The 21,388-nt window shown below is 43.4% G+C and overlaps 2 pseudogenes, 2 gene segments (V, D, J or C) and 1 further gene, besides 9 other annotated features; all 5 read right to left on the reverse strand.

Moving 5' to 3' along the window:
- The window catches only part of TRG (T cell receptor gamma locus), a 128,032-nt gene that overhangs the window by 76,135 nt on the left and 30,509 nt on the right, over positions 1-21,388 (reverse strand).
- Positions 859-1,334, reverse strand: TRGV9 (T cell receptor gamma variable 9). The segment is given in 2 exon segments: positions 859-1,178; positions 1,289-1,334. Coding segments are annotated over 2 exon segments (366 nt in total), but the record flags the coding sequence as incomplete, so codon positions are not given.
- Positions 1,165-1,178: a sequence feature (TRGV9 leader sequence).
- Positions 1,189-1,334: a sequence feature (TRGV9 leader sequence).
- Positions 2,768-2,947: a silencer, noted in NCBI's record as "silent region_18110". NCBI's record gives its function as "represses an Ori minimal core promoter by ATAC-STARR-seq in GM12878 lymphoblastoid cells {active_cell/tissue: GM12878}" and the evidence as "EXISTENCE:reporter gene assay evidence [ECO:0000049][PMID:35858748]".
- TRGVA (T cell receptor gamma variable A (pseudogene)) lies at positions 6,288-6,705 on the reverse strand (annotated as a pseudogene). The gene is given in 2 exon segments: positions 6,288-6,583; positions 6,663-6,705. Coding segments are annotated over 2 exon segments (339 nt in total).
- Positions 6,573-6,583: a sequence feature (TRGVA leader sequence).
- Positions 6,663-6,705: a sequence feature (TRGVA leader sequence).
- Positions 14,185-14,663, reverse strand: TRGV8 (T cell receptor gamma variable 8). The segment is given in 2 exon segments: positions 14,185-14,495; positions 14,621-14,663. Coding segments are annotated over 2 exon segments (354 nt in total), but the record flags the coding sequence as incomplete, so codon positions are not given.
- Positions 14,485-14,495: a sequence feature (TRGV8 leader sequence).
- Positions 14,621-14,663: a sequence feature (TRGV8 leader sequence).
- On the reverse strand, positions 18,883-19,356 carry TRGV7 (T cell receptor gamma variable 7 (pseudogene); annotated as a pseudogene). The gene is given in 2 exon segments: positions 18,883-19,192; positions 19,314-19,356. Coding segments are annotated over 2 exon segments (353 nt in total).
- Positions 19,182-19,192: a sequence feature (TRGV7 leader sequence).
- Positions 19,314-19,356: a sequence feature (TRGV7 leader sequence).

Consider the following 21,388-nt stretch of genomic DNA (forward strand, 5'->3'; position numbering starts at 1 on the left):
ATGACCAGGCACGGTGGCTCACGCCTGTAATCCCAGCACTTTGGAAGGCTGAGGTGGGCAGATCACGAGGTCAGGAGGAGATAGAGACCATCCTGGCCAACATGGCGAAACCCCGTCTCTATTAAAAATACAAAAAAATTAGATGGGCGTGGTGGCACGCACCTGTAGTCTCAGCTACTTGGGAAACTGAGGTAGAAGAATCGCTTGAACCCGGGAGGCAGAGGTTGCAGCAAATGAATTTTTTCTCAAACCCCAATCCAAAGTGGACTTTGACTTAGATTCGATTAGTGGAAGTGTTTACGGATTTTGTACAAAATCAAACATCACCACTCAAGGCATGCATGTGATAGATTTGTCATTGCAGTCTGCCCTGCTCGTGGTTAGATCATGCTGCGTTTGTTACATGTTAACCTCCAGAAAAATGAATACCATTTAATGTCATATCCATTTTTTAATCGAGAGAAATAGGAAGGTCAGAGAAAACTTATGTAATGCATATTGACTAGTACAAAAGAATCACACTAAAAATGTGTATATATTATACCAGAAAAAAAATATATAATGAGTAGGAGAGGTTGAACCAGAAAAATAAGCATGGGTGACCTAGAAAAGCTGTTGGTGAGAGAGTACAACCCTGAAAAAGAGGAGGCTGGTCACTTGTATAGACTTATGCAAAGCTTCTGCTTTGAGAAAATATGTGGAATTTGGCAACTCCAAGTAGAGTCACCACATGAATGTTTATCTTAAAAACTGTTTACAAGCACACTGGTGGTAACTGTGGCTTCCCAATTCGTAATTATAAACAAAGACTCAATAAACATTTATTGAATGGGATGGCTCAAACTGTCTGCTGCTGTGCACCTCCCACAAGGCACAGTAGTAGGTAGCTATGTCCTGTTTCTCTACATTGTGAATGGTGAGAGTGGATGTAGACGTTTCAGGTATCCTATCCACCTCAAATTTGCCTGACGGAATGCCGGATTCCTTTCTGACAGTGCCGTCATATGAAATGGACACCAGGAACTGTATGACTTCACCAGGTCTCTCTCGATACCAATATACAGATGTTGCAGAAATTGTTATTCCAGACACCACACATTCCAGGCGGGCTGTTTTTGACAGCGTTTTAGTACTGGAAATTTGAGGTTGCTCTAGGTGACCTGCACCATATACACACACTGGGGAAAAAAATGGGAGGGAGTAAATAAACCAAGAATTTGGAATTTATAAAAATATATAACAATAGAGAATATCAGTCCAAAGTGATTGGGGGAGCAAAACTACTTACGAGCCCCAAGGACTGCCAGCGTTGATGTGTGGAGCAGTGACAGCATGTCTGCAGGCACTGTGCTTTCTGCCAGGGCAGCCTGAAATCACCGCAGAGAAGCGTTAGACCTCTGTGGCTTGGCTGAGTCCACCAAGTCAAACTTCCCATGGGTGAGGGTGACATGGGGCCCCCTGCATCGTTGTAAAGCGGTGTCCTCACCACCTGTTAGCACTTCCAGTCTGTGTGAAGACAGTCCTGCAAGGTCTGCAGCCTGAGATCAGACCACATAGTTTAGACGGCCACCTCAGACCACAAGGCGGCCACCCCAGCAAGTTGTCAGGCTGGTGTTGTTGGTTGCTGGGGCTGTGACATGCAGCATTGTCTTCTGAGAGCTTGTCTTCAACCAGCTGGAGAGATGTTGGTCCGTCAAGCCGCTTAGCTCTGCTCAGCTACCCACACAGCCTGCAGCACCGGGTCCTTCTGGTCACCTTCATGAGGCTGGGCCCTCCATCCCAGTTTGTTTGCTTCTGTTGAAGATTCAGGTTCCTGTCCCCTCCCTCAGCTACCTGAATAATGTACATCTCCTGAATCCCGGCTTCTCCTCAATGACAGTTTCCTATTGTCTGTTGTTCTTTCTCTAAGCCAAGACATTTAATCCGTCCCAAGGTATTTTTACAAACTGCTCTCCCCAGTGCATCCCTTAAAAGCTGCTGTGTTCCAGATTTCCATGCTTAATTTACCCACTGGGAGCTGCAGCTCACTGCCACTGCCCAGCATCGCAAGAGAGTATCATAACCTTATATCACTGTCCTGGGGAAACAGCAAAGGTCAAATTATGTTTTCTACCAAATGCGTGTCACTTTTGCACCATCATAAAGTAAAAAAAAATCTTAAGTCGGACCTCAGTTAAATCGAAAGCTGTCTGTACCCATATCCAGCTAACTCTTGGACATTTTCAAGTACGTCTGACATGGGATCTCAAACAAAGTCTGCTCATAGCCAGAGTGAACTCATTCCCTTCCCCCAAACCATATCTTCTTCCGAGTTCCCTGTATGACATAACTACCCACATTGCCCAAGCCAGGAGCTTGAGCATCAGCCTCAATTCTCCCCTCTAATTCACCGCACTCTAATTCCTGAGGATTCTACGTCCTAAACATTTCCTGGCTCACCACTGCCTCCACCTCACGCACCTCCATACATCCCATCTCGGCCCCTCCCACCCACCTTCCCCATGGCCACTAGACTGACCTGGTCCTTTTCCTGCTCTAAAGTCCTTGCTCTCTCTACCTTGCCTCTGAAGATGAAGTCCAGAGTTCTTAGGATAAGAGGTTCTCTGTGATGTGGCCACCCCCTCCCTGTCCTTCCATCTTCATTTAGTCACTTTCTGCCTGGAATTCCACGACCCACTTCTATGGATTGACTTGAATTTTTTTGTGTTTGGACTGCATTCTACTCCACATTCCCTGGCTAATTCCTGTTTATCCTTCTGGGCTCAGCCCCAGGCAGTCTTCCCCAGGAAGCTTACCTCACCCAGTAAGTCCAGGATGGAGATGCTTCAAATTGCTTTCTCTTCACGCCACCTAGTGCCTTCCTCTCTCCTAGCACCTCCTACCCAAGTCTTGGCCTGTTTACCCATTTCTCTCTCATTCTAAACGACAGTTAAGAGTTCCCAGGGGAGTAAGATCATGTGCTGTTTATCTCTCTATTCCCAGGTGTTTGTTGAATAGATGAAAGGGTGGAGTGAGGGAATGGATGGCCATTGTAGTATTTTTTTGTCGTTCTGATGTTAACAAAACATCACCATTTAAAATACAGTTTTTAAAGAGTTACCAAGCAATGGACACTTAGTGAATGCCTTAATGTGTCAAGCAGTTTGTAGCCATTATGATGTTTAATACCATAAATTTAGTATAATCTTCACAAAGCCCTACTCAAAGCAGGTCAGGTAATGGGTCAAGGTTTAACAGCTTGTTGGTGACAGATTTAAGATTAATTCTATCGGGCTGCAAAGCCTGAGCTCTTTGAGTAGTTCTCTCTGCCTCTGTTTTCTTATCTACCAAAGGAGAATAAAATCACAGCCTACCTTACTGGATGTTGCAAAGAATAAATGTTTGCCCAGGTAGACTGTTTAGGGCAATGCCTGACACAGAGCAAGCCCTTGGAAACTGATGGTGATTTCTGTTATACTCTCCCATGCTGCCTTCTGTGAACTTGCCCCTGCTCACCAGCAGCAATGCACCAGCTATGCCCTTGTCTTGCTAAGACAGACTAGCTGGGAGGCTCCCTAAAGCAAGAGACGATGAGAGGGAAAGAACTTGGGACCATTTCTAAGAAACAAAACTTGAAAAGTCTGGTGATGATGCCTCTGAAGGTGAGATCACTTAGGAAAGATAAAATCTTGGTCTCTAAGCTGGTCTATCACCCTGGAGGTTGAGGCTGAAACCAGGTAGTATAATTCAGAGGGAGATTGATTTTGGACATTGCTGTTTTCTTTATTTTGGAGATGAGGAAACTGATGGCTAGGAAATTTAAGAACTCGCTCAAGCTCACAGCATTCATGAAGAGTACAGCAGGTGTTGGTGAGGAGTGAAGGTGGAGGTTTGTGGTGGTGAAGGTTCACTGCAGTGGCAGAGTCTCCTCTTGAGGAAATGAAAGATGTTGTTCCATAAGGAGGTGACTGGGGAGCTTGCGCCTCCATTTGGCCACACCCTGATAGTCACCATTTCACCAAATTTACTCTTGTTTGGAGTAAAGCACTGAGAGAGGGGGCAGGCAGAAGAGGAGGCATCTCCTCTCTGTGCCCATTTGGTTTTATCAGCACAATTAGAAAAATGAAATGAAGGAACAACTCCAAAACAGAATGAAAGTTTCCTCCTGTATGGCCTCTGTCCTTCTCACACAAGTTGGAAGGCCTTAGCCGTGAACTGAGCCTTCAGTAGAGGTTAGAGACGCTGGGCTGTTTCAGAAGCAAGGCGTAGCGTTTTTTTTTTTTATTTCTTGTTGCTCAGACTGGAGTGCAATGGCACGATCTCGGCTCACCACAACCCCTGCCTCCTGGGTCCAAGTGATTCTCCTTTTGTTTTTTATTTGTATAAATTTAAGGAGTACAAGTGCAATTTTGTTACACACATATAATGCACAGTGGTAAAGTCTTGGCTTTTAGTATACCCCACACCTGGATAATACTCATTGTGATGTGAAATTACTTAATTTCCATCTGTATTCCTTCTGCCCCCCACCACCCTTACAAGCCTCCAATGTCTGGTTCCACACCCTATGTCCACTTGTACACATTATTTAGCTCCCACTTATAAGTGAGAACATCCAGTATTTGTCTTTCTATTTCTGAGTTGTTTCACTTTAGATAATGGCCTCCAGCTTCCTCCATGTTTCTGCAAAAAACAGGACTTCATTCTTTTGTATGGATAAGCAGTATTCCATTGTGTGTATATACCACATTTATTATGGATGAATAGTACTCCACTGTGTATATATACCACATTTTCTTTATCCAGCCATCCACTAATGGACATTTAGGTTGATTCCATATTTTTGCTATTATGAACAGTGCTGTGATAAATATATGAATGCAGTCTAATATAATGATTTATTTTTCTTTGGGTGGATATCCAGTTATGGGATTGCTGGATTGAATGGTAGTTCTATTTTTAGTTCTTTGAGAAATTTCCATACTGTTTTCTAGAGAAGTTGTACTAATTTACATTCTCATCAACAGTGTATTAAGCATTCTCTTGAAAAGGCATTTAAATTCAGCTTAGACTTCAAAGAATTTCTTTTTTTTCTGCACATAGAGCAGCAGAGGGGTTTCCTGTTTGGTGCTGGAGGATCAGTAACACAGGCTTTCTTTTTTTTTCTTTCATTTATTCTATGTTAAAAAAGACTGCTTTATATGAAGGTAGTGGGCATAGTGATCTTATGTGTATGGCTTTGCTTTAATACAAAAATCATAGTCATATAACTTAGCAGACATTTGGCTAAACCCCCTCATTTGTCAGATAGGAGAACAAAAGTCTAGAGAAGCTTGGGATACACACGTGTTCCACACTGGGGTGCTGTTGAAGGAGAAGTGGAAGGTAAATGTCTCATCCAGGGAGGACTGCATCACCCTGCCATGGCGACTGTCTACTCACATCAGTTCCTATGCAGCCCGCCCACGGGTGAAAGTACTGAGAAGTGGGCAGTCATGTTTCCCATGCTTCTAATTGCTGACTCTATTGCAAAATGATAACAGTCCCAGGGCCAAGAGCTTGGAAGCTGGAAACAGGAGTAGGCTTCTAGTCTCAGCTTTTCAACCATTTTGTGGTAAATCTCAGCAAGTCCTCCACCCTTGAAATCTCTTCCAAAATATTTTATTTGTGCATTCTTCAGGGGAGATGGTCAGATTCTTAAATGATCAGTCTCTAACAGCACTGTCCAACAGAAATAAATGAGTCACCAATGTGAGTCACACACTTTAATTTTTTTAGTTGCTGCATTAAAAAAAGTAAAGAGAAACAGGTAAAATTAGTTTTAATGCTATTGGCTTTAGTCCAAGATACCTAATCATTTCAACTTTTGATCATTATAAGAGTTATCTCACTTTTAACACTAAAGCTTCAAAATATGATTTTAGACACACAGCCCATCTCAGCTTGGACTATTGCACTTGGTATGTTTCCCATGCTCAATAGCCACAGGTGGCTAGTGGCACCTGCATTCAGGAGCACAGGTCATCCTGCAAAGGCTTCAGAGACACTGAACTGGAGCATCTTTAAACAGACCCCTTTCGATGAGATATAGATCACTGAGTCTGCACAAGCTGAAAGCCTCATCTGTAGTGGGACCGGGGAAGGGACCTCCAGGATAGATGGGGAGGTGAGGGACAGGGGATAAGACTTTTTTCTTCTATGCCACAGGGAAACCCAAGGGACCAAGAGTAAGTGAAAATGCCCAAGGCCTTGTTGGATCGGGAGGAAGAGTCCTTTTGTGTAGGGCTGGGGCAGCATGCAAGGCTGCGCAGGGCCCAGGTTGTGCAGTAGTTCATGCCCTCGATGCCTGTCTCCAACTTCAGTACTGCCAAGATAGAGCTGCTGCCATCCTTGGCTATGATTTTATCTGCTTTCAGGATGGAATCCCACTGCACATCCAACTTGGACATGGCCAGCTGGTGGAGTGCCTCAGGGACCTGGCCCTTCTGCTGGTACCAGTGGGTGTAGCTGATCCTGGTGCGGACCACGCACTGCAGGATGACCAAGCTTCCCTAGTGCCCCAGGACATGGGCCAGCTGCTCCGGCCTGATGAGCCACCAGCCAGCTGTCAGGGAGAGAGCAGTGAGGTAGGGATGTCCCAAAGCCTCGCCACCTCTACACAGGTCCTTAGGTAGGAGACTGACCTGGAAACAGGATGACCCAAAGGAAGGCAGGGCAGCCCACCATATCTCTGATCCTGACTGGGGGAGAGGAGCCCAGAGTGACCTGTTTCAAACTATGGACCTGAGCCACACTTTCCTGAGTTATGGTAGCGACCAGCTTAGGGCCTGAACTGCTATTTCCCTGGTGGTGCAAGGAGGTAACTGATGAGAGAAATGGGGGAGGAAGAAAGAAGTTCCAGAGGAGAGACAGAAATCTGACCACAAGGTGAAGGGAGGGATGACCAATGGCTAGAGTGCTGAAAAAGGCTTAAAGAGTGTTGCTGGTATAATTAGCAATAATAGCAATCATTGGTTGGACACCAGCAAAACTCTTGCACTGCACTAATTGGTTTAGGGCCATTGCTTTATTAAATCCTAAAATAACTCTATAGGACAAATGTTATCTTCAGTTTAGAAATGAAGGAGTAAGGCTGTTATTTTAAGTAGCTTTTCCAAGGCTGTAATACCTAAAGAGAATCAGAGTTGGGAGAGAAGCCAGGCCAGGCTGGTGACAAATTTCTGCTTCATGTAACCATCTTATACTCAGAGAACAATGAGTGTGCTGCTTGCTCCAGAGGAAGGGACAAACACAAAACAGCAATCCCTAAAAAAACCCATGCCAACCGTCTGAGCCAGCATCGGAGCGTGTCACCCAGAGGTCCTAGTAGAAGGAGATTTTCAGTGCCCTAAAATAACATGATAGCTGTGTAGTCTTGGGCAAGTTGTTTCACCTCTTTTTCCTCATCTGTAAAGAGAGGTGTCATAGGGCCACATGGACAGTAAACAGGAGAATGTGAGCAGAGCACGCAGCACAATCCCAGCTGCATAGACCATGCTCAAGAAATGTGGGGTGTTGTTGTTTCACCTGGAAACTGGATGGGTTCCAGTAAATGATCTCTGGGGTTCACACAAAGTAGAAATTATAGGGACTAATGCAGTTTTCAAGAACCAGGTGTGTGCGTGCGTGTGTGTGAGTGTGTGTGTGTCTCCAAAGGAAGAAGGCTAAGTCAGGCCAGCAGACAGAGAGGGCCTGGAGGCAGGACCAGCTCATCCTCTGCCAGTGGCACGTCCTTGGAAATGGTGAAGACTGTGCATTGGGAAGGGCCAGCGAAGGACACACCTGCCAAAGGCTTGGAGAAATAGACCCAGCCTTGAGTTCCTACTGAAATGAAGGTTCATTTTCAGCTTTGCTAATGACACCCAGGACCTCCTGAGTAGTCAAAGAGATGGCCATGAGGGGAAGGTTGTGGGCATGGCAAGAAAAGGGGTCTGGCTTGGGAAGGGAAGCTGTGAGTCCCTGGGCTCCCACGACCAGACCCAGTTCCTGAGCTTCTCTTCGATGGCAAAAACTGAAAGTCATGATTCCAGTTTTCAGCATTCTCACATGCAGGGCTTAGGGTTGTGCTGAGTTGGTGAGAAGGTGGTCAAATACAAAGCTAGCAGAACGTTTTGACAGAGGGATATTCTGGGGCTATCATTTATACACTCTATAGACCTTTAGCCCAGGGGTGGGCTAGGGTAATGGGAAAGAAAGTGACAGCTATGGTCAGAAAAGGTCAACGCAGGGAAATGACAGGTAGAAAGTGCAAAATACAGACAGTGAGCAATGGAAATGGGCAAATTATTTGTCTTCAATCTTTCTCTATTTTCTAGATTTTTTTAGAAATAAGAAAATATTATTTTAGAGGAGAAAAAAATTATAACAACTACATATGTTTTCAATATTCAAATTGGTTATTTAATTGCACCTTGTGCTTATAAGGTGCAATATGCACATGAAAAAAGTGATATGTTTCATTTTAGTCTCGTCATAACAAATCAAACCATATTAGAGTCACATCTGAGGTAATATACCAAGTCAACATGGCATTGCATAATGAAGTGCAGTGGAAAGCCTCATCCTGAAGGCATATCTTGAAGGTAAATTTAATAGAAAAAAAAAAAACTTCAGTAATGCTTACAAGATACTTATGTCATCACCGATTCATGCACAAATTTGGTTATTACTATTCTATAATAAATTTGGTGACATTTGGACAACCTCATTGGTGAGAATAATTTTTGTAAAGTTTCCGCTTTCTAATTTTTTTGTTTGTTTATTTCAATAGTTTCGGGGGAATAGGTAGCTTTTGGTTACATGGATAAGTTATTTTGTGTTGTCAGTGTTCAAAACTATGTTTCTCTCAATTGTTGTTTTAACCGTTTTAATTCAATTACTGATCATTAAAGACTCAAAAGTTGTTAGCAATAGCCAATCAGCCAATCATAGATTTTTTGTTTGTTTGTTTTTTGAGACAGGGTCTCACTCTTTAGCTCAGGCTGGAGTGCAGTGGTGTGATCTCTGCTCATTGCAACTTCCACCTCCTGGGTTCCAGAGATTCTCCTGCCTCAGCCTCCCCAGTAGCTGGGATTACAGGCGCGTGCCACCACGCCTTGCTAACTTTTGTATTTTTGGTAGAGACAGGGTTTTGCTCTGTTGGCCTGGCTGGTCTTGAACTCCTGACCTCAGGTGATCTCTCTGCCTTGGCCTCCCAAAGTGCTGAGATTAGAGGGGTGAACCACCACACCCAGCCCAACCATAGATTTTAATAGAATCTGCTGTAAACCTGCAGCCATACATTCTGTCTGGTGACATTTGCTTTCCTTTCCTCTACTTGTCTTCCCAATTCGGTGGCCCTGTGCTCTTCTCAATGTAGCACTTACAGGTTCTATTTGTCTAAATTAGACACGTTTAAAATAATAATATGGGGGAAATCTTGGGCAAAACGCAGTCAAGGTGTAGGAGGGCTTGCCCTCTCAAGCCCTGGGTGGCGTTTGAAGGATTCTGACCAAGATCCCAGATCTCCAGGGAAAGAGAAATGCGATGCTGGGCGAGGGAGAGGTGTGTCCTCTCATCCCATGTCATCCAGTCACTGCCCAGGTGGAAGCAGACCTCAGCCAGCGTGGGATAGGGCTGCAGTGGTGAGGAAGAGCAGATCCAGGCTGAGGCGGCCCCTGCATGAAGATCCAGGGACTAAGGGCTGGACCTTTAAAGTCACGCATCCCCTGCATCTTCCACGTGATTTATCCGACCCAGGACAGTGCTCTTCTGGCCATGCTAGAATCTGAGAACTCATCTAATCAGACTTTGTCATTTTGTCATGTAGGATAAATTGGGTATTCCCAGGATGACAGTTATTAGCAAAATTGACAAGACTGGGACACCAGAAAGAGGAATGCCACTGAAGGGTTTTGATGAGAAGACTGTGGATGAAATTTTATTTCTTTTGTTTCCAATTTACAACTTCATAGCACTGTTTGTTGAATAAAAGTTTTTGTTAAATCTGTATTTTGTGGGAATTAGTAATCCCCTCTTTCAGCTTTATTGAGGTATAATTGATAAATAAAATTATATATTCCAGGTATACAACATAATGTTTTGGCAAATGTATACATTGTGAAATGGTTACCACAATCAAGCTAATTAATACATAGTTCCCTTTGGGTTTGTGTGGTGAGAACATAGTTACCTTTGGGTTTGTGTGGTGAGAACACTTGAGATTTACTCTTTCAGTAAGCTTCAAGTGTACAATATAGTATTACTAAGTATAGTCACCATGCTGTATTCCAGATGTCCAGAACTTATTCATCATAGAACTGCAGGTTTATATCCTTTGACCAACATCTGCACCTCCCTACCCCTATTATTTTTGTTATGTTTTGTAATATACACAATGCATTTCTATCCTAGTTCATGGTTCATAGTTATAAATAAGTGTACATATATAAGGGGTTTATTCTTCAATAAAAGTATGCTTTTTTGAAAAAACAAAAAAGCAAGAAAATTTGATTATGAAAAACTATTAATTATTTTTTTAAAAGCTATAGCAATTAACATATTGTGCTTTTGCACAAGGATATACAACATAGGGACTCAGCCCCACATGTAAAGTTGAAGTTGTGCACACACAGCCACCCCACCTCTGGTTGTGTCTTTAGAGAAACTGGCAAAAGTACAAGCCGACATGCACAGTAGAGAAGAAGAGAGAGCAGAAGGGGCTGAGTGAGCATGTGGAAGCTTCACTATCACAAAGGTGGCCTTGAACTGGGGGTTAAGGATGGGTTAGGTCAGTAATTTGGGAAGAAACTGGCTCTCCACTTTAAGATTCCTACCTAACTCCCACCCCACGCACAAAAGGCAGATCAAACAAATACATGTGCAGAAGAAAACCTTCAAGGTATTGGGAGAATAAAAATGAGAATATGTTTGTGCTTCAAGGTAAGGGACAGGCTTTCTTAAAAAGGTGTGATCCCCGAGGAAGGAGAGCAAGTTAAAGCAGATTCATTTAGTACACAACTTTTTCTTGCGTGAGGTCACAGGAAGCCAGAAGGAATTGCAGTTGTGGGATTATCATGCAAAAATGTGAGAAACTGTCAAAGCAGCTGCTTTGAGGGGCTGGGGGAGATAAGAGTGAGGCGGATTTGGTGGGCTGCGAAGGAGCCTGTGAGCAGCTTTCTAGAACACCTTTCTGTGTCAGGCTCAGGACAGCCCCTCGATCTCTTGCCACTAGTGCAGCAGTTTTTAAAAGTCAGTTTGAATAAGAATCAGCTCTGGAGGTTATTTTAAAATGCACATTTTCACCCTTCATTCCAAGATTCTGTCTTATTGTGTTGGATGCTTCCCAGAACCTGTACTTTTTTTTTTTTTTTTAATTAAAAGCCTCACGTGCTTCTTATCCAGGTGGTCCGTGGAGTACACTTTGAGAAACACTCTTCTAGGAGCCAGGACTATAAGGCTGATTCAAGGTTTAGGGTTCTGGAAGAAAGAGGATCCAATAGACAAGAGACCAGATAAACATGAACCCAGCACTGCTCCCCTGCAGTATTCTGGACTCTGGATTTCTTGTAGACTCAAGCTTCTCTATCATTATTCAGAAACCTCTTCCTCATGACCACATTTGTTTAATCTCATTCCTGCATACCGGGGCCTTTGACACATCAGCTGTGATATTTTCTAAACGGAAATTAATTCTTCAGGGTAAGCGTTGCTTCTCTGCTTTCTTCTCCTGCTGTTTCCTGGCTTATAATTAGTTTCTTATTCTTTACACCAGCCATGTGCTTCCAATTCATCAATCAGAATGAAGGACTGCATTTTGAGACAGGAAGAGTCATTTTCTAAGACCTGCCTCAAAGTCAAGATATTTTAAAGAGAAAAAGATTTAAGACAGGTTACAATAGCCAGACTGTGAGCTCCAGTCAGTGAAAGAGAATAAGCCATATGGGTTCCAAATGAAATAAAGGAATGAAGGCTGCCTGGACTATCCGGGGGTAGGGGGGCAGCCTCCTTATTTTATGTCCATTCATCATATCCACTCTGATATCCTCAGACACAGGGTAGAGACCACAGTCAGTCCATCCACCTATGGGACTGCCCTTTTAGATAGACTTGGGCCTTTAAAACTAGCATTAGAGGGGGAGCTTCTATGTGTCCTCACTCTAATGGGGGACCACGTTGACAGTATGCATTTCTTGGTATCAAAGTTAGCTCAGATGCCGTCTCCAACAGCCTTGAAAGACCTAGTTATTCCCCTTCCCTAGGTGTACAAATTTCTCAGGTAACTAGTCTTCGATCTTTTGGGGGAAAAGGCTCGGAGAATCACTGCCATATATACTTGCTAGAACATTACAAGGTTCTCCCTCAAGGCAATCTGCCTTCCCCTTCATTCAAAGGACTCTGAGTTGGAGAACAGGAGGAGCTGACATCATTCTTTCATTCATCTTCTCTTAATACGTTCCAATTACATATATATATATATATATATATATATATATATATGAGAGAGATATGTATTATGTATATATGAGAGAGATATACATATCTATATCTCATATATATCTCATATATATATCATATATATCTCATATATATCTCATATATATCATATATATCTCTCCCATATATATCTCATATATATATCTCATATATATATATATATATATGGGAGAGATATATATGTATATATGGAATACATATGTGGAATACCACTGTGGTAGCCCAATTTCCTTACCCCTAGGAACACTGTGGTTTATTAGCTGTCACCCCAGATTTCTGTAGAGCAGGGCTCCTTGGCTGCTTTTCTGGCTTTATGTCTTCTCACACTAATTCTGCCCATTTGGACTCTTATTTTGAAATTACATCATCTCCATTGACCCTTGGGAGCTAATTCCTTAACAGCGTCTCCTATAGTCAACCCTGCCCCACAGGGCACAGCTTCCACCAAGACTCTCAAGAACGCTGATTCCTCCCATTTCAGAACATGCCCTTCTTTCCTAATTCAGAGGGTTCTCTGGGCTCTCGCAGGGAATACAGTTATCCAGTGAGTTCTCAGGTTTAGTGGGAAAGTCCACTCTAGCATGCCTACCTCTCGAAGCCTTTTAATGCCTCCCTCTGTAACTGTGTCCAGGCAGCTCCAACATCTCCGTATCATGTCATGCGACCAAGGTTTCCTCCATGTTTCCAGGGAGCCATCCCAGGAGTGTCTAAGGACCAACACCAGGAGCCCTGTCAGGGTACTAAATTATGAAAGCACCCCCGTAGAATTAAACTCTGCTTCTTCAGGCTTACATTCCACAACCCACCACTGAGCACCCTCCAAGTCTGCTTCTAGGCACGTTCTCCATGTCGGCCCGGAGGTGTGAACTCCTTGAGTGGATAATCCTTTTTATCTCTCAGCAGGGCTGTAGTGTTCCTCAATGGCCCATGCTGAGACCTGATCCAAATTATCAGTCTAATATCCAGAGGGGACATGGAATGAATTCTGCTGCAGGGCAAGGGTCAGATCCTTCAGATACTTGCATTAGGGCAGGGATGCTTGAAATGGTTGAAAACCTATGATATGACCCACAAGTTGGCGTACCTATGACTATCACTTTTTTACCCATTCTCCTGCAGACCAATAGTACCATGATTTGTTATGTAGAAAAAAATGTCAGTGTGTCCAAAAGATAGCAGATCTGATACACGTTAGATGTCTTACTGAAGTGCAAAGTTGTTATTCCAACATTTATCCTGAGCAATGAATAAGCACTATTTTAGCCTATAGACAATAATTGGATAAATGCTTGAGTGAAGCTAGTCTTCCCATATAGTCTCCTAAATGAATCCCTTTACAGACCAGTCCTTGAGGAATTTGTCTGTCTTAGGAAGCAGGTGGAATGGGTCTCCACCAGCCCATAGAAGAGCTGAAAGAACTTTGCTGTCAGCAAGGCTGCTTGGCTGACACAGCTGGGAGATTGTAGTTTGGTCTTTAGGTAACTCATGAGGGTGGGGTGGAGAACAGGGTGCAGCTGCCGCCAGGGGAGTGTGATATTAGGGGAGAGATGAGGAGTTAAGCTGTGTTTCTCTTTGTACAGAATACAGTGAATTCATGGGCAGGAAATGAGATGAGGCTGGTCTATCTTGTGTACCAGGAGTAGTCACAAGGCAGATTTTCAGTGTGGTGTAGCACAGGTCTGAATCACTGTGCCTATCCCAGGTGGCACAGTAATAGACCCCAGAGTCACGTTCAATTAGATTTTCCAGTATAAATTTAAGGCTCTTCCCTGTGCTTGCATAAGTATGATACTTTTCTCGACTGATTCCTGATTCCAACACAACCCTGGAGTTGTAGGAGTCATAGTACAGAAGACGCTGTGGGGCCTTCCCCTCCTGGTGTAGGTACCAGTGGGTGTAGACGGCATTTTCTACAGGAAGATCACAAGTGATTACAGCTGATGACCCAGTTGGCCTGGTGACTGACTTTGTTCTCCCTTCCAAGTTGGAAGATTTCTGACTGGCTGCAATGGGAACAACACAAAATGTAATGAGGCATTTCTTAGTATGGTATCCCTTGCAAAAGAAGAAAATAAACAAAACGAAACAAAATAAAACCTGTGAGCCTCTCTGTAGGCAGCACTCTTACCAGGAGGCAGGAAAGCTAGAAGCAGAGCTAGAGCCAACAGCATGCCTTCCTCTCTGGGGTCTTGGAAGTAAGGGACCAGACGAAGAGGAGCAGAAGACCCTCTCAAAACTCAGGTCCCACTCAACAAGGAAGTGATCCCTAACACAGAAGACAGTAGGAGGAGCTGGTCTTCCTGATTCACAGGCAGAGATAAGTGATTGAGGATCTGTCTTAGGGGACTCTGGGTGGTGCCTAGGAGGACCTGCAGAGGAGTTTCTGCCTCTCTGCTCAGGCCAGTTCTCCAGCGCCCTCTGTGGCGGCTGAGAGCAGGCCCTCTAAGGAAGAGAGCTCCGGGCATAGAGAGCTCAGGCCTGCAGCAGAGGGAGTGCAGATGTGGGGGAAGCTGACCCTGGAGTTAACAGGCTCAGACCTTAAAGGGGGTAGTCTCACAGCAGGTTCACACCCAGCACTTCAGAGTTTCAGCAAGTAAGGCAACTGCAAGACCCTCATTCTGCCGGGAAGCTTCTGATTAGGGCCCTAAACCACCATCCTTTTCACATCTGCAAGGACACTAGAGGCAACACCCAGGGTCACTCTGAGAGGGCCTGAACCTGCTTTATTAACAGGATCGAGGGTCAGGTATGTTGGTGGGTCTTGGACTCTCCTCTAAGGTAAATGGGTGTGTGGGGGTGGGGCGGGTGTTTGTGTGATCCTCTGTGAGTTTGTGTGTGTGTGTGTGTTGGGAGTGTATGCCTGTGTGTGTGATCTCTTTATTAGAGGATTTCCGTTCATTCAAGTAGAAGTGTGAGTTTTTTTTTTAAAGTAATACAGGGTGCCATGTCATGCAATATTTGGGACATACTTCAGCTAAAAACTTGTTATTTATCTGAACGTCCAAATTTCCTGAGTATTGCATATTTTACTTAGCAACCGTATCCTCAGAAAGCTGACTGATGTCTGCAGTGGACCTGGACTCATAGATGGAGATACAGGTGATAAAACAAGTATAGTAAAATAATTGTGAAAATTCAGTAGTGCATACACAGATTTTCACTTCGGTAAAAAAAAAAAAAAGTTTGGACACATGTTTAAGATATTCATAAAACGTAGAACAATGTCCCTCTTGGTTGTTGTTTTGGCCTAGCTCAGAGAGTTCAGTTTTTGCTGACATCACAGCTGGGAATGAGAAAGGCAGGGGGCTCCAGTTGGTCTCCCTCTGCCTCTCCACCACACGTACAGGACTTGAGGCTGCCAGGGGAGGAGCTCTGAAAGCTGAGTCATTGGGGTCCTTGTGAAGGAGGGAAGCTCACCTGCCTTGGAGCCAGGAAAATCCTGCCTGGGACAGAACTCTCATGGTTTAAAAATGAGAAGGGAGAGAACTGCCATCACATTAGAATGCACAGAAAATCCTTAAAACAAAAAAGTAATGAGAGAAACAATCTCCACTGGAATATAAAATGAACTACAAAACTACAGTGCTGAAGATGTAATGCCCAACCGTGTTTTTACTAACCCTGTTTTTAGACTCTCCCTTTTCCTTTAATCACCTGGCCTTGTTTCCACCTGAATTGACTCTCCCTTAGCTAAGAGAGCCAGACAGACTCCATCTTGGCTCTTTCACTGGCAGCCCCTTCCTCAAGGACTTAACTTGTGCAAGCTGACTCCCAGCACATCCAAGAATGCAATTAACTGATAAGATACTGTGGCAAGCTATATCCGCAATTCCCAGGAATCCATCTGATTGATAACGCCCAAAGCCCCAAGTCTATGACCTTGTAATAGTCTTAAAGCCCCTGCACCTGGAACTGTTTACTTTCCTGTAACCATTTATCCTTTTAACTTTTTGCCTACTTTATTTCTGTAAAATTGTTTTAACTAGACACCCCTCCCCTTTCCAAACCAAAGTATAAAAGAAAATCTAGCCCTTTCTTCGGGGCCGAGAGAATTTTGAGCATTAGCCGTCTCTTGGCCGCCGGCTAAATAAACGGAATCTTAATTTGTCTCAAAGTGTGGCATTTTCTCTAACTCATTCAGATACAACAAAGAGAGGACAATACTGGCACTAGACTGAAAAGATTCATGGAACACAGTGGAAAGTCCAGAAAGAGAGCCACGTGTATGTAATATTTTATCATGTCATAAAGTTGTATGTTAATATCCACAAGGAAATACTTGATTATTTACTATGTTCTCCTTTGGGAATTGACTTACCATATGGAAACAAATATCCTTGGGTTGCTAACTTAAAAGGTACAAATAGAGATTTAGTTGTAATAAAACTGAAAAAAGGAAATCAGACTTAAACGATGATGAATTGCACACTAATTGTAGGTGACATTGGTCTCGCTGAGCCTGACATCATAATACAGACCCTAGAAAAATTGATAGATTTTATTAAAAGTAATATACAAAGTTCAGTTCACCAAAAGGTGCTGAAAATAAATAATAGCAAATGATGAGAAATATTTTCAACACGTTTGATAAAGGATCAATATCTCGAAAATGGTGTATATTAATTCTTACAAACAAATAAGAAAAAATTAATACCCCAACAGAAGGATAGGCAAACAGTATGAAAAGGCAATTCACAAAAGAAGAAGTATAAATGGCCTATAAAATTGTAAAATAATGCTAGTATTCATAAAGATAAGAAAATGCAAATTGAATGAACAAATCTCATTTTCTGAACCCCAGAGCTTGGATTGCAATTGCTATCAAATTAAACTATATGACTTAGGGAATGTTAGTTAACCCCTCACTTTCTCATCTGCTATATTCAATGTTACTTAAACCCGTTGATAAGGTTTCTGTGAAGATTAAATAAAATATACATGTAATGTGCTTAGTACAGTAACTACCGGAAAGTCAGTACCCATATTTATCATCAGTATTATTATTATTGCTATAGTAATTATTGTATAAAAATTCCAGATAGATCATATCAAGTAATAAATGAATAAAATATTAATGAAATGATATGAATTTCTTTAGGCATACTTCTGAAGTATGTTCACCTTTCCAAGTAGGACACAAAATCCAGACACCAGAAACTAAAAGATTGATTGAAATGTATAAAAACAGAATATCAGAACAAAAACATAAATATGCCATTCAAATAGAAATAATGCATACTGCACATATATGACAAGCAAAAGAGGTATTTCTGTAATAGTGATAGACTTCTGAATAAATAAGAAAAAGTGAAAAAGTTCAACTGAACTAATAAAGATATTGTTACCTATAGGGTGAGACACAGAAGAGAAAAGAGAATTCTAGAATGGAAGCTAAAATCTCTAAATTGATCTTGTTTTATAATTTTGACTTCAGTTCCATGTAAAGGTTTTACATATACAAATCAAAATAATACAACAGATTTCCAAAATATAAAAATGAAAACTGAACGAATAAACTAGCTGTATCAAAGTTGGCATGAACATATAGAGAATGATTCTGTATTCTGATTGTGTGCCCAAAAAAGAAAGAAAGAGAGAGAAAAGGAAGAAAGGAAAAAAAGAAGGAAGTAAGAGAAGGAGGGAGGAAGAAAGGAAGGAAGTAAGGAAGGGAAGGAGAGAGGGAGGAAGAAAGAAAGGAAGGAAGTAAGGAAGGGAAGGAGAGAGGGAGGAAGAAAGGAAGGAAGGAAGGAAGGAAGGAAGGCAAGCTAGGGAGGGAGCTAGGGAGGGAGGGAGGGGAGGCCAGAAAAAGGGATGTGTAGAAAAATAGCAAGTAACCAAGAAAGTAGAGAGAGAGACAAAAAGGAAAGCAGAGGGAGACAATGTTCAACTGCATACCTAGGCTTAGTGTTATAGTGGTAATTATACTATTGCTTATATTGTTATAGACATAAAGAATAAGCAACACTCTCAGCTGTGATCTCTAGATATATGATTCAGTATAAATATCCTTCCCATTTGCTGTCCAAAATATCTCGCTTCGCAGTTGGACCCTAGGTGTACCTGTTGGTCCGAGGAAGCAGAGTGAGTGGGCCTCCCCCATGTCCTCGGAGAGCTGAGAGAGTCTTGCTCTCAGCCAGGCTGCTTGGCTGAGGCCTGAAGATGACAGCTTGTCTTCAGGAAAGTCCTGGGGGAGGGTGGGGAACAAGGTGCAGCTGCTGCCAGGAGAGTGTGATATTAGGGGAGAGATCAGGAATTATGCTGTGTTTCTCTTTGTACAGAATACAGTAAATTCGGTGGCAACAAATGAGAGGGGGCTGGTCTATCTTGTGTACCAGAAGCAGTCACAAGGCAGATTTTCAGTGTGGTGTAGGGCAGGTGTGAATCACTGTGCCTGTCCCAGGTGGCACAGTAATAGATCCAGAATCATTTTCAATTAGATTTTGCAGTATCAATTTCCAGCTCCTCCTCATGCTTGCATAAGTAAAATACTTTCCTCTACTGATTCTTGATTCCAACACAACCCTGGAGTAGTAGGGGTCATAGTATGGAAGATGCTGTGGGGCCTTCCCCGCCTGGTGCAGGTACCAGTGGATGTAGAAGGTATTTATTACAGTAAGATCACAAGTGATTACAGCAGATGACCCAGCTGGCCTGGTGACTGACTTCCTTCTCCCTTGCAAGTTGGAAGATTTCTGACTGGCTGCAATGGGAACAGCACAAAATATAATGAGGAACTCCTTAGAACGGCACCCCTTGCAAAATGAGAAAACAAAACAGAACAAAATAAAACCCATCAGCCTCTCTGTAGGCAGCACACTTACCAAGAGGCAGGAAAGCTAGAAGCAGGGCTGGGGCCCACCGCATGCCTTCCTCTCTGGGGTCTTGGAAGGAAAGGGACCAGATGAAGAGGAGCAGAAGACGCTTTCAAAACTCAGGTCCCACTCAAACAGGAAGTGTTCCCTAGCACAGAAGGCAGTAGGAGGAGCTGGTCTTCCTGAGTCACAGGCAGGGAGAAGTGATGGAGGATCTGTCTTAGGGGACTCCCCAGCCTTCCTCCCAGAGGGGTGGTGTCTGGGAGGACCTGCAGAGGAGCTCCTGCCTCTCTGCTCAGGCCCCTTCTCCAGCGCCATCTTGTGGCAGCAGAGAGCAGGCCCTCTGCAGAAGAGAGCCAGGGGCATGGAGAGCTCAGGCCTCCAGCAGAGGGAGTGCAGATGTGGGGAAAGCTGACCCTGGCGCCAGCTGGCCAGGGCCATAGGACGGGGCAGTCCACAGCAGGCTCACACCCTGCCCTTCAGAGTTTCAGCAGTTGATGCTGCTTCCAGGGCCTTGTCCTGTCAGGAAGCTTGATTTGGTCTTTCAACTGCTTTCCTTTTCACATTCGCAAGGACACTTGGAGGCAAAATACCCAGGGCCACTCTGAGAAGGCCTGAACCTGCTTTATTAACAGTGTAACACCTAAGGTTCTTGCCTAGCCACGCCATAGAATTGGTGTGGCGGCTGACCGCAGCGAGTGATAGAAACACGGACCGAGAGAGAGAAAAAGCTGTAGGCTTTATTGAGCAGAGTGAAAGTACAAAGCTTCCAAAGCATGGAGGGGGTCCAGAATGGGTAGCCAGAGTTAGATTATAGGATTGCCTTTTAAACTCTTCAAGGCGGGAAATACCTGAGGCGGGAAGATGTTACCAAAGCGAGAAACAAAGGCAATTAACCATTTGTAACATGTCTTAGATCTTGAGGAAAACCGGAATTGCAACTTAGGTTTTATCTACTTTATGACCTTGCAGCGTCATGGCAAAGGAGACAGGATCTTACAGGACTTTACAAAGTATGTTTACAAGGAATTGGAATTGGGAGTATAGATAAGGTCTGCTGGTTACAGAAAAACGGGCAGTTAACGTTATTTTACTTTAGTTTTGGGGCAGGGGGAAGGAAGAGAGGGAGAGAGAACACAGGGAAACTTACAGGAAAATTTTCGCTGTTCATAGCTTTCATGGGGAAGAAAACACATGCACAAATCCTGGTGTTCGGAATATTTTAAGCATATATCTTCAATATTATTCATCCAGGACCGAAGTAAGTCGTGATGCAGGAAATGAGTGCGTTTCACAGCTTGCTGAGCCCCTACTCGACCCAGGAAGCCCAGCTGGCCCCTCCTCTCAACAGGAGTGAGAATCAGGTATGTTGGTCGGCCATGGACTCTCCTCAATGGTAAATGGGTGTGTGGGGGTCAGGAGGGGGTGTGTGTGACCTTGTGTTTGTAACCTCTTTGTTAGAGGATTTCTGTTCATTCTCAAGTAAAAAGGCCACATCAAGTAGGAGTGTGAGATTGGCTCACGCCTGTATTCCCAGCACTTTGGGAGGCCGAGGTGGGCAGATCACGAGGTCAGGAGATTGAGACCATCCTGGCTAACACGATGAAACCCTGTCTCTACTAAAAATACAAAAAAATTAGCCGGTTGTGGGGGTGGGCACCTGTAGTCCCAGCTACTCAGGAGGCTGAGGCAGGAGAATGTTGTGAACCCGGGAGGTGGAGCTTGCAGTGAGCGGAGATTGTGCCATTGCACTCCAGCCTGGACAACAGAGTGAGACTCCGTCTCAAAAAAAGAAAAAAAAAAGTACAGGGTGCAGTGCCATATGCAATATGTGGTACATACTTGAACTCAAAACTTATTTGTTATTTATCTGAACTTCCAATTTACCTGGGTATTGCATATTTTATTTGGCAACTCTATCCTTGGAAAGCAGGCTAATATGTGCAGTGCACCTGGATTCATAGATGAAGATATGGGTGATAAAACAAGTAGAATAAAATAATTGGGAACATTCAGTAGTGTATACACAGATATTCACCTCCTCTATAACAAATATGTTTAGATTCATGTTTAAAATATTCCTA

This window comes from Homo sapiens, chromosome 7, assembly GCF_000001405.40.
Source record: "Homo sapiens chromosome 7, GRCh38.p14 Primary Assembly".
NCBI lineage: Eukaryota > Metazoa > Chordata > Mammalia > Primates > Hominidae > Homo > Homo sapiens.